The following is a 12840-nucleotide window of genomic DNA, read 5'->3' on the forward strand; positions in this document are numbered from 1 at the left end:
TAGGCCTGCAGGTGTGGAAAGGGCAAGAGTTGAGGCTTGGGAGTCTCAGCTTAGATTTCAGAGGATGTATGGAAACACCTGGATGTCCAGGCAGAAGTCTGCTGCAGGGGCAGTGCCCTCATGGAGAACCTCTACTGAGGCAGTGTGATGGGAAAATGCGGGGTTGGAGACCCCACACAGAGTCCCCACTGGGTACTGCCTAGTAGAGCTCTGAGGGGAGAGCCACCATCCTCCAGACCCCAGAATGGTAGATCCATTGACAGCTTGTACTGTGTGCCTGGAAAAGCTGCAGGTACTCAACACCAGCCCATGAAAGCAGCCATGGGGGCTGTACCCTGCAGAGTGTTACAAGGGTAGAGCTGCCCAAGGCCTTGGGAGCCCACTGCTTGCATCAATGTGGCCTGGATGTGAGACATGGAGTCAAAGGAGATTATTTTGGAGCTTTAAGATTTAATGACTGACCTACTGGGTTTCAGACTTCCGTGGGGCCCATAGCCCCTTTGTTTTGGCCAGTTTCTCCCTTTTGGAATGTGAGCATTTACCCAATGCCTGTACCCCCATTGTATCTTGGAAGTAACTAACTTGCTTTTGATTTTACAGGCTCATAGGTGAAAGGGACTTGCCTTGTCTTGGTTGAGACTCTGGACTTGCACTTTTGAGTTAATGCTGGAATGACTTTGGGGGACTGTTAGTCATGATTGCGTTTTAGAATGTGAAAATGACGTGAGATTTGGGAGGGGCCAGGGACAGAATTATATGGTTTGGCTCTGTGTCCCCACCAAAATCTCACATTGAATAGTAATTCCCAATGTTGGAGGTGGTTCCTGGTGTGAGGTGATTGGATCAATGAGGGTGGTTTCTCATGGTTTGGCACCATCCCCCTAGTGCTGTCTTGTGATAGAGTTCTCTTGAGATCTGGTTATTTGAAAGTGTGTAGCACCTTCCTCTTCCCCCACTCTCCTGCTGGCCATGTGAAGATGAGCCTTCTTCCTCTTCACCTTCCGCCATGATTGTAGGTTTCCTGAGGCCTTCCCAGAAGCAGAAGCCTGGGCAGCCCGCAGAACCATGAGCCACAGCCTGTGATAAGCAGATCTTGGTGAGAGGTAACCAGGCTTCTCTACCCATGGGTATCCTCCTTTCTTATGTCTCAAGAAGCTTTTTGTTGCTGATTTGAAGTGAAATAATGGAATTTTGGTCACTTCTTCAATCAAAACATTTGATTCAGTAATGTAAAATGTAGATTCATGCCTTTCTGTGTACAGTTGAAACTGTGTTTCAATGCTGAATCGTGCTGTCATCTTTTTGGTGACATGGCAGTTAAACTCAGCGTGTATATACCACCAAAGCACATTACTCAGTTGGAGTGACAAGAACAGGACAACTAGGACGAAGTTCTGCCATTTGGAGACTGTAACAACTGTATCGTGACTGTGGTTTGGCTGCCAGCATTGAGATTCCTATTTGGATTTTGGAGTCATTAGCTGGGATGAGATGTGTGCTTGTGTCATCTTGAATGCCCACTTTAGCTGACTGGTGGTGGCCTCCCAGGACCGTACACTTCGTTTGAGAGGATTGTGAGACCATCCATGGGAAAGAGCTCCATTGCCTCATCACTCATGTCCTCCAGTTGGTCTCCAGGTGAGGAAGAGGTGGGGCATGTGTGTGAGGATGAGGATTTGCCCTCCCAGCCTTAGAGAACATTCAGAAGGCCACTGTAATTGAGGTCAGGGCGGTGCAGTGAGACGGCAGAGTGTCACGGATGTAAAAGATTATTGCAGAGGAAGATGTAAGACTTGTCACTGAATTAGACCTGGGAGGTGACTGTGGCTTTGAGTCTGGCTGACTGGCAGCACATAGCTGTAGCAGTTGTGTAAACAACTAAGTTAGGGGCTGGATGGAGGGGAGGGTGGATGGAGCCATTTTTGGACCTGCTGACTTTGAGGTGGCTAGTCTATCCAAGCAGTTATAAATGTGGCACTGGAACTTCTTTCAAGAAGTTTGGCAAAGAATAGAAATTGGGCAGTAATTGGAGGGAGCAGCAGTGTCAAAGGAAACATGGAGACAGGTTGGCAAGGGCCTAAGATGTGCGAGAGAGGAGGGTGATTCATGGGGCAAGATCCCAGCAGTTGCAAGAGGGGAAGGGATTGAGAGTAAGGTGACAGAGTTAGCCTGGAATTACTCATGCTATGTGGGTAGATGACAGGTAGCCAGCCCCTTGCTCTTCATGTAGGCTGAGGTGCTCATTAGCCCTTCCATTCTCCGTCCTTTTCACCCCCCAGTTGTCTGGTCCCTCTCTCCTTGCATCTGAGTGTGCTTTCCTGCTAGGCCATCCTGGCTTGCACATCGTGCTCTGCCATGGTTCCTCCTCTCCATTCCAGTGTCCCCCAAGGGAACGGTTTCCTCTGCCGTGAAGCAGAGGCCATTCTCCTTACGGCCTCCTGATCCCTGTCTCAGCCTTTCTCGGTGCCCAAAGAATTTCTGTGAAGCTGTCTCATGCTTTCCAAACTTTCTTAACTTAACTAGATCCTTTTCTTCTTCCAATCAGAATCTTTCAACCAGTCTGCCTTCCTCTCAGGCCTTTTCTTTCTCCTGCTTTCTGTGTTCTTCTCCCATTCGTGGCCCTCCGGCCCCCTGTGGACCCTTCGTCATCATCACATCCCTTCGTAAAGTCATGCCCATTTCCAGTTTTGAGGACTTCTCGGAATAAATGTTAGTATATCTAAAACTCAATTATGTTTTGGTTACTCACGTTCCAGCCCAGTGACTTATACTCAAGCCATAAAGCAGTGGATTTTAATGGCTGAAAGGTCAGCTGGAAATCATCTAATCCTGCGCTTCCCAACATCTGTTCTTCCTGAGAGGTTAATAGGCACTTGGAGGAAAAAAAGGTTGTGTGATCAAGTAAGTTTGAGAAATGCTGGTTTCCACCAAATTAAACACATTTTTTTAAAACCACAGAGGTTTAATGTGTTCATATGCCGTGTGACTCCCTCAGGAGCAGGAGGGAGTGTATCCCATGCTTATTTGTGGAACCCTTCGTCAGAGGGCACCATCGATCTGTCCTCTGCCACGTTTAGTGGACGAGCACACTCGCACACCCTGAGCGTCTGATGTCAGTCACTGAGGTTGCTCATCTTAGATAGGCTCTGGGGACTGTTTTGTAGCTCCAGCAGGAGCCATTGTGACAGTGCCAGTTGCTGTGATGTTTGTGAATCTTTAACCATGCGTTTAGCAAAAGTTTTGGCTCTGCTGTGAACTGGTGCCAAGGGAAAACTGCTCTGAACTTTCCCAAATGAAAAATAAGAATTAGACAGGCAATCTGGTGAGACCATAGCCAGTGACACGCCTTTTACTAAGGAACACCGAGCAGCGCACTGTGGCCCCAGGAGGAAGCTGGACTCTCACTCCTGAGCCGGGAGTTCCAAGCCCTTCCGATTCAATTCCATTTCCCACATCTCTCCTGGATGAGCCCGGCATCACGGCCGGTCAGAGCCGCCTGCTGTTTTCCTGAGCATGACGTCCGAAGAGCCACACTTGTGGTCCTCGTGATGCCTTGCTGCTGTTGGCAGTGCCCTTTTGCAGCTACAAGCCTGGGGGACGACCACGTTTACTCAAGATTCACACCTCCCAGCCTCTCCAAGCAGGCTGCTTTCTCCTCAGAGCTCCCAAAGACACCTCTACACAAAAATTCCGATTTAAAACCTAGTGCGTTCCTTTAACTATTTGGTTTTAGTTTGTCCTCCTCAGTGGACCCCCATCTTTGAGGGCAGAAACCCCCTTCCATACACCACTGTGCCCGTGGCCCTGCCCTCATGAAGGGCTCGGCCTGGAGCAGGTGTGGGCAAATTTTGTGCGATGAATGAGTCCTCCCTGGTGAGGCTGACTGGCCAGCAGATGCTGCAGGAGAGCTACCCATGTGGGAGGTTCCTGGAAGCCTTTCAGAGACAAATGGCATTTGAGAAGGACTTGGAGGAAACCCCTGAACTGGCAAGCGAGAGAGGGAAAAACCCTTCCAGGTGAAGGTCGAGTGGAAAGGTAGATAGAGGTGTGGCAGGGAATAAAGGAACAGAGATGGTAGGAGAGATTCCATCCTGGGCAGAGCAGAGAAGCCAGGTGGGGCAGAGGAGCGAAGGAGACCAGCGATCGGGCAGGAGAAAGAGTGGAAGGAAGGTCTTGAAGGAGAAGTGCCAGGAGGTGGACAGGGCCATGCAGCTGCAGGGGCACAGTTCCCATACGACCTCCAGCTGCCCAGTGGTTTTCTGGCAGTCCCTCAGCCAGATGTTTGTATAGTACCCAGGCCAGGTGCTGCCTGGCTCTCAAACATTTGAATAACTGAAACCATCTCAGAGGAGGTTGTATTTTTAGCCAGGGGCTGTGGTAGGCAATAGTTCCAGTCGTCCTGGCTACTAGAGTGGCAGGGAGGCTCTGGTGTCTGAGTAGGCGTTGGATTCTCATTCTGACTTGCCTCTGACAGGCTGAGATGCTGGGAAAGCCCCTCGATCCTTCCAGATCACCTGCCTGAGTGGTGGGGGGGCAGGGGTTGCAGTCTGAGTTTGGTCTCTTTCTGAGGGGGCAATGGTAGAAGTTTCCCTTATGTGGCAATGGGAGGGAAGGGGCCGGTTGGGAGAATCCTTATTTCTCCTTGATGATGGGCATTGGTTCTTAACCCACGGGAACAATTTATCAGCTTCATTGATCCCTAATGGTTCAGGGTAAAACCTGCTACACAAGGTCACAGTCCAAAAAGGACCCATGTCTTTTTTTTTTTTTTTTTTTGAGACGGAGTCTCTCTCTTGTCACCCAGGCTGGAATGCAGTGGTGCGATCTCAGCTCACTGCAACCTCCGCCTCTCTGGTTCAAGCGATTCTCCTGCTTCAGACTCCTGAGTAGCTGGGATTACAGGCACCTACCATCACGCCTGGCTAAGTTTTGTATTTTTACTAGATATGGGGTTTCACCATGCTGGCCAGGCTGGTCTTGAACTTCTGACCTCAGGTGATCCACCTGCCTTGGCCTCCCAAAGTGCTGGGATTACAGGCATGAGCCACCACACCCGGCCTCATATGTCTTTTGACCCCTGGGGTGCTGCTAGCTATCAAACTGGGCAGTCAAATGTGGGATGCATTCCTTTCAATGCTGCCTCGTATCTGCTCATTCACTGAGCAGAAGAAGCTTTATGCTCCAACAGGGACTCACGGACAAAGACCAGTTTTTTCAATTATCAGATAGGTTCACAAACATTATTGTTTTTTAAAAATTTATGGTAAAATGTACTTAACAAAATTTTCCATTTCAACCATTTTTAAGTGTACAGTTCTGTGGCATTGGGCACATTCACACTGCTGTGTAATCATCACCACGTCCATCTCCAAAACTTTTCCATCTTCCCCAACTGAAATTCTGTTCAGAATTAACACTATTGTTTAATTAACATAAAACAATAACTTCCCATCCTTCCTGCCTTCCAGCCCCTGACAACCACTTCTTTCTGTCTGCTTCTACTTTCCTGCGTATGTATGTATGTATTTATTTTTGAGACAGGGTCTTGCTCTGTTACCCAAGTTGGAGTGCAGTGGTGCAACCACAGCTCACTGCAGGCTCAAACTTCTGGGCTTAAGCAGTCCTCCCACCTCAGCCTCCTAAGTAGCTGGGACTACAGGTGTGTGCCACCACACTCTGCTAATTTTTTAGTTTTTATTTTTTGTATAGACAGGGTCTCACCATGTTGACCAGGCTGGTCTCAAACTCCTGGGCTCAAGTGATCCTCCCACCTCAGCCTCCCGAAGTGCTGGATTACAGGCGCGAGCCACCACATCGGGACCTACTTTCTATCTATGAGTTTATCTATTATAAATACCTCTTAGAAGTGGAATTATAAAATATGTCCTTTTGTGTCTGGCTTATTTTGCTTAGCATCTATGTTTCATCCATGGATGAAACTTTTTTTTTTTTGAGACGGAATCTTGCTCTGTCGCCCAGGCTGGAGTCCAGTGGCGCAATCTCGGCTCACTGCAAGCTCTGCTTCCCGGGTTCACGTCATTCTCCTGCCTCAGCCTCCCAAGTAGCTGGGACTACAGGTGCCTGCCCCCACGCCTGGCTAATTTTTTGTATTTTTAGTAGAGACGGGGTTTCACCGTGTTAGTCAGGATGGTCTCGATCTCCTGACCTTGTGATCCACCCGCCTCAGCCTCCCAAAGTGCTGGGATTACAGGCGTGAGCCACCTCGCCTGGCCCATGGATGAAACTTAGCAATATTTCATCCATGTCGTAGCATGCATCAGAATTTCCTTCCTTTTTTAAGGCTGAATAATATTCCATTGCATGTGTATACAACATTTTGTTTATCCCCCAATAGAATATTACTTTTTTATTTTTTAACTTCAATTTTTATTTGTAGTTGACAAATAACAATTGTAAATTTACAGGGTACAATGTGATGTTTCGATATATGTATACCTTGTGGAATGATTATATCAAGCTGACACATCTATCACCTCACATACTTATCCTTTTTTGTAGTGAGTGCATTTAAAATCTATTGTTTTAGCAATTTTGAGATATATAATACATTATTATTAACTGTGGTTGCCATGCTGGGTAATAGATCTTGAAGAATTATTCCTCCTGTCTAACTGGAACTTTCTACCCTTTGGTCAACATCTGTGCATTCCCCACCCCTCACCCCCAGTATCTGGTAACCACCATTCTACACTGTAATTCTATAAGTTTGACTTTTTAAGATACCACACATAAGTGATATTATATGGTATTTATCTCTCTTGCCTGGCTTATTTCACTCAGCATAGTATCCTCCAGGTTCATTCATGTTGTCAGAAATGACAGGATTTCCTCCTTTTTAAAGGCTGTTAGTAATCCATTGTATATATGCCACATTTTCTTTATCCATTCATCCATTGATGGACACTTAGGTTGATTCCATATCTTGGTTATTATGAATAATGCTGAAATGAACATGGGAGTGCAGATACCTAGTCAACATACTGATTCCAATGATTTTGGATCTATATCCATAAGTGGGATCACTAGATCATATGGTAATTCCATTTTTAGGCTTTAAAAAATTTATGAACAACAGAAATTCATTTCTCAGTTCTGGAGGCTGGGAAGTTCAAAAGACAGGCACCAGCAGGTTTGGCCTCTGGTGACGGCTTGTTCTCCACTTCCAAGATGGTGCCTTCTTGCTGTGTCCTCACATGGCAGAAGGGGTGGAAGAGGGAAGGAGCAAGAGCACTCCTCTCAGCCATTCTTATAAGGGGCTGAATCACTTCCCAAAAGGCCCTACCTCTTAGTACTATCACCTTGGGGGTTAAGCTCCAACATATTAATTTGGGGGGTATAGACATACATTCAGACCATAGCATTCCAGCTGTGGCCCCCTTAAACTCATGTCCTTCTTACACAAAAAATACATTCGTTCTTCGTTCTATCTCAGTAGCCTTAAGAGTTTTTTTTTTTTTTTTTTTTTTTTGACGAAGTTTCGCTCTTGTTGCGCAGGCTGGAGTGCAATGGTGCAATCTGAGCTCACCTCAACCTCCACCTCCCAGGTTCAACCGATTCTCCCTCCTCAGCCTCCCGAGTAGCTGGGATTACAGGCATGTGCCACCATGCCTGGCTAATTTTGTATTTTTAGTAGAGATGGGGTTTCTCCATGTTGGTCAGACTGGTCTCAAACTCCCGACCTCAGGTGATCTGCCCACCTCGGCCTCCCAAAGTGCTGGGATTACAGTCATGAGCCACCACGCCTGGCCTTTTTTTTTTTTTTTTTTTTTTTTTGAGACAGAGTTTTGCTCTTGTTGCCTAGGCTGGAGTGCGATGGTGTGATCTCAGCTCACTGCAAACTCCGCCTCCTGGGTTCAAGCAATTCTCCTGGCTCAGCCTCCCAAGCGGGGATTACATGCATGTGCCACCACGCCCGGCTAATTTTGTATATTTAGTAGAGACGGGGTTTCTCCAGGTTGGTCAGGCTGGTTTCGAACTCCCGACCTCAGGTGATCCGCCCGCCTCAGCCTCCCAAAGTGCCGGGATTACAGGCGTGAGCCACTACGCCCGGCCTGAGCCACCGCGCCCCTCCAAGAGTCTTAACTTCTTCCAGCACCAACTCAAAAGTCCAAAAACCAGAATCTCATCTAAACCAGACACAGATGAGACTCAAAGGTTTGTTTCATCCTGAGGCAAACTGCTCTCCAGCTGTGAACCCATGAAATCAAACAAGTTAATGTGCTTCCAAAATACAATGGTGGGACATGTATAGGATAGATGTTCCCATTCCAAAAGGGAGAAATAAGAAGAAAGGGGTTGCAAGTAAGTCCAAAACCCAACAAGAAAAACAACAAGTCTTGAGATTAATCTTTGCTTGATGCTGATCTTGTGAACACAGTGGGGGCAGAGTATTTTTAGTTTTGGGGAAAACTCCATATTATTGATTTCTAAAGTTTCTTTAGCTAAGGTCTTCAGCATATTTTTTAAGTACCTGATAATGTCTCTGTCTTCCCCATTAAACTGTAAGCTCCTTGATGAGTTTATTCACCTTTGTGCCTCTAGCTCAGTGCCAGGTGGTCAATAATGTGTGTTAAATGAATAAATGGCTGGTGCTCTGATTTGAATATTTGCCCAAGAATCAGAACCGAGCTCTTCACTGGAACCTGATCTTCTACCTAAAACCAAGTCACGAATTTTTACTTCTCTGGCCCCACCCCCACTTTTTTTTTTGAGATGGAGTCTTGCTCTGTCACCCAGGCTGGAGTGCAGTGGCACGTTCTTGGCTCACTGCAAGCTCCGCCTCCCGGGTTCATGCCATTCTCCTGCCTCAGCCTCCCAAGTAGCTGGGACTACAGGCGCCCGCCACCACGCCTGGCTAATTTTTTGTATTTTTAGTAGAGACAGGGTTTCACCGTGTTAGCCAGGATGGTCTCGATCTCCTGACCTTGCGATCCACCTGCCTCGGCCTCCCAAAGTGCTGGGATTACAGGCGTGAGCCACCGCGTCCGGCCGAGCCTTTTTATTAGGGACATAATATTCACTCCTAGATTTTTTGCCTGATCCCACAGTCTTTGAGCTCCTCAGGCTGAGACTGCTATTGAAACACTCAGGATTAAAATACTAACATCTTCATGTTTTCCTCCAGAATCTTTCTTGAATTTACGAAATTCGAAAGCTGCTCCATTGGAAACCATTCAGGAATTGTCATGGGTTTAGGTTAAAAACAAAACAAAACAAAACAAAACAACACAGCAGTTGTGCCATGGAAAGCAGATCACTTGAAACAGGTCTTCCTTTTCTGTTTTCTTGTAGCCGGGTCCTCCTCCCTGAAGCCTCCACTCCTGTCTTCTCTGATGCCGGACTTGTGTCTTTCCTCTACTTTTTCTCCGTCCTTTTCTGAGACCCTAAATTACAGTATGTCTGCCTGTAGTGTTCTTTTCTTTTTTCTATATAATGTTTAACTGCATCTAAGCTATTGTCTCTATATGGATGATTTCCAAAACTTAATCTCTGGCTCCCAAGCTTCACGGCTGTGCTCCAGCTGCCTCTGGATCTCTCTCTCTGGAGAGGTTCAACGTGCCTGAGACTGGGACTGCATTTCCTCCACATCTCAGCATTCTCCCTGGGAACCCATTTTTACTCCTTCTCCCCAGCCTCCCATTGGTTACTCACAAGTGTTTACTGAGCTCTCGCTGTGTGCTAGGCACCACTCTAGCTGCTTAATTAGCTGGCTAACCCAACAATTCAAAAATCAGCTGCCAAGCCTACAATATGCAGTCTTTAACGGCTCTCCTTTTGCGTCTACTTTATGTATGGTTTCCCAGAGCTGCGGGAACAAAGTACCACCAAGCTGGGGAGCTTCAAACAACAGAAATTTACTTTCTCACAGTTCTGGGGGCCCAAAGTCCAAGATCAAGGTGTTGGCAGGATTGGTTCCTTCTGAGGCTGTGAAGAGAAGCTGCTCCAGGCCTCTCTCCCCACATGTGGTGATTTGCTGACCGTCTTTGGCATTCCTAGACTGCAGAACATCACTCAGTCCCCAACCTTCCTGGGGCCTTCTCTCTCTGTTTTCGCACTGTCTTCAGAAAGACAGTGCATGTCTGTCTCTGTGTTCAGATATCCCCTAAGGTCATTTTCAGAGGAACCGGAAGTTAGGACATCAACATATCATTTTGGGGAGACACAGTTGAACCTGTAACACCCAGTTATCTCTCCTTTACTTTCAGATGTCTGTCTTTTCTGGGCACAGTTAGTCCTCTGGGCTGCCTTTGCCCTGCACTTTTTTTTTTCCCCCAAGACGGAGTTTCACTCTTATCACCCAGGCTGGAGTACAGTGGGGTGATCTTGGCTCACTGCAACCTCCGCCTCCTGCATTTAAGTAATGCTCCTGCCTCAGCCTCCAGAGTAGCTAGGATTACAGGCGGGCACCACCACACACAGCGGGTTTTTGTATTTTTAGTAGAGACAGCGTTTCACCATGTTGGCCAGGCTGGGCTTGAACTCCTGACCTCATGATCTGCCTGCCTCAGCCTCCCAAAGTGCTGGGATTAAAGGCGTGAGCCACCGTGCCCAGCCTGCCCTGCACTTCTTTTAGCACCATTAGCTTCTGTCACTGGGTGTCTGTAGCCGTGCTAGGTCAGCCAGAACTATGTCTTTATCTTTCCACCCTCAGGGCCTAGAATAGTACATATTTCACACTGCCAGGCATTCCTGAATGCCTGGATGGACGGTCATTGAAATGAATGAATGGATGGGCGGATGGATGGACAGATGGATGGATGGATGGAATAACTAAGGGAGTTTGTCTTGATTTACCTTGCCAACCTTAGATCCCATCATTCCCATTCAAGCAGTCTGTCCTTCACCAAATGTTTGGGTTCAGTTCTCCATACTCTTCCCTTTCTTTCTCCCCTCAAGTTCAGGTTCCAGCCCTCATCCAAGGCCCAGCTCAAGTTCCGCTTCAGTGCTGCTGCCTCCCCTGAGATGTTTGCCTTTTCCTAACTCTCACAATATTGTATTGGTGCCTTTTCTGTGGCACTCTTTGCTTCGGCTTTGGATTATAGTAATTTATCCCAGAACTCTTTCGTTAAAAGGGATCTGACATATGGACTAAGACCAAAATATCTGTGTTGGATCACTTGGGGACATTTTTAAAATTACTACAGATCCCTGAACCCCACACTTAAGATTCCGATGAGCAAGTCTGGGGTGGGTCCCTGGAATATGTACTTCTAAAAGCTTCCCCAGGCAATTGTGATACTCAGCCACGTTTGGGAACCATTAATCCAGTCCAACCTCCTCATTTTATTTATGGGGAAACTGAGGTCCAAAATTGTTAAATTATTTCCCCAAGATCACTTAATTAGTGGCAGAGGCATCCAATTATGTGGTTATGGTTGTCCTAGCTTTTTAATCAGATTTAAGCAGTTCAGAAGCAGTGCCTGTACTTTGCTCATCTTTGTGACCTGTGTAAGTACCACCTGTGCACCTCAGTCAAGACAGGCCATTCACAGTAAGTGCCACTATTAGTGACACAATAGGTGGCTACACTGCACGCTCCAAGGAGACAGATGCCAGGTCTGTTCCTACTAACGTTTATTTCCAGCACCTCACACAGTGCCTGACATGTAGTAAGGTGCTTAATTAATATTGATCAAATGAACAAAGCATCTGCTATACGCCAGGCACTATAGTAGAAGCTTTACATACATCATCTCATTTCGTGTATTCCAACTACAACCCTGTGAAGAAGGCTTTCATATTCTCATTTTAAAGACGAAGAAACAGGGCCGGGCACGGTCACACCTGTAATCCCAGCACTTTGGCAGGCCAAGGTGGGTGGATCACCTGAGGTCAGGAGTTCGAGACCAGCCTGGCCAACGTGGTGAAACCCCATCTCTCCTAAAAATAGAAAAATTAGCCAGGCGCGGTAGCATGCACCTGTAATTCCAGCTACTCAGGAGGCTGAGGCAGGAGAATTGCTTGAACCTGGTAGGTGCAGGTTGCAGTGAGCCGAGATTACGCCACTGCACTCCAGCCTAGGCGACAGAGTGAGACTCTGTCTCAAAAAAATATAAATAAATAAATAAATAAATAAATAAATAAAGATGAGGAAACAGGACCAGAGGCTAGGTCGTCTGCTCTATGTCACGCAGGAAACAATCAGCATAACTGAGCTCTAAAGCCCATTGCTCTTTCTACAGTGCTGCAGGATGGCCATGCTCCACCCTCCGTGCTCTTCAGAAAGCTGGGGGTCATTCCAAAACAATATATGGGGAGAGGTATTCAAAAGCCCCAAATGTTTAGAAGCCTCAGTTTTGTTCTCAGCTCTAACATAGCCTTGCTGCTCCATGAGGTAATGTAAAAGGTAGTTCTACTGCAACTTGTATTGTGTATGTTCTAGAACATTCAGTACTCCTACCACTTGCATGCTTATATGTGTATGACTCGATACTATCAAAAGCTTTACAAGTATTTCATCCTCTTTCCCTTGTGTGTGTGTGTGTGTGTGTGTGTGTGTGTGTGTGTGTGTGTGTGTGTGTGTTTAATGCTATTAAAATTCTCCTCCCTTTGTAGGGCAGCAGTGCCAGGACTAGGGCAAACAGAGTTCAAAGAGTGTCCCGGCATGAACTATTCTAATACCAGGTTTCAGATATGAGCTAATGGCTGAGAAACAGGAGTCAGGGATGTGAGTTGGCCCCACACACCTAGTCCCCTGCCCAGACCACTTGCGCAGTGAGTGGGTTCTTTTGTACCAGAGGAATCGCGTGCCAGGGACCCAGCCTCTAAAAATGACAGGGTTCTGACTCCACTGTCAGGCATGAGAGGGAGACCGAAGTC

General features: G+C 47.0%; 3 annotated features.

Annotated features, from left to right (window-relative positions):
* Positions 4013-4082: an enhancer, noted in NCBI's record as "active region_5800". NCBI's record gives its function as "activates an Ori minimal core promoter by ATAC-STARR-seq in GM12878 lymphoblastoid cells {active_cell/tissue: GM12878}" and the evidence as "EXISTENCE:reporter gene assay evidence [ECO:0000049][PMID:35858748]".
* Positions 4143-4202: an enhancer, noted in NCBI's record as "active region_5801". NCBI's record gives its function as "activates an Ori minimal core promoter by ATAC-STARR-seq in GM12878 lymphoblastoid cells {active_cell/tissue: GM12878}" and the evidence as "EXISTENCE:reporter gene assay evidence [ECO:0000049][PMID:35858748]".
* Positions 4483-4582: an enhancer, noted in NCBI's record as "active region_5802". NCBI's record gives its function as "activates an Ori minimal core promoter by ATAC-STARR-seq in GM12878 lymphoblastoid cells {active_cell/tissue: GM12878}" and the evidence as "EXISTENCE:reporter gene assay evidence [ECO:0000049][PMID:35858748]".

The sequence above is a fragment of the Homo sapiens genome, chromosome 12 (assembly GCF_000001405.40).
Source record: "Homo sapiens chromosome 12, GRCh38.p14 Primary Assembly".
Lineage (NCBI taxonomy): Eukaryota > Metazoa > Chordata > Mammalia > Primates > Hominidae > Homo > Homo sapiens.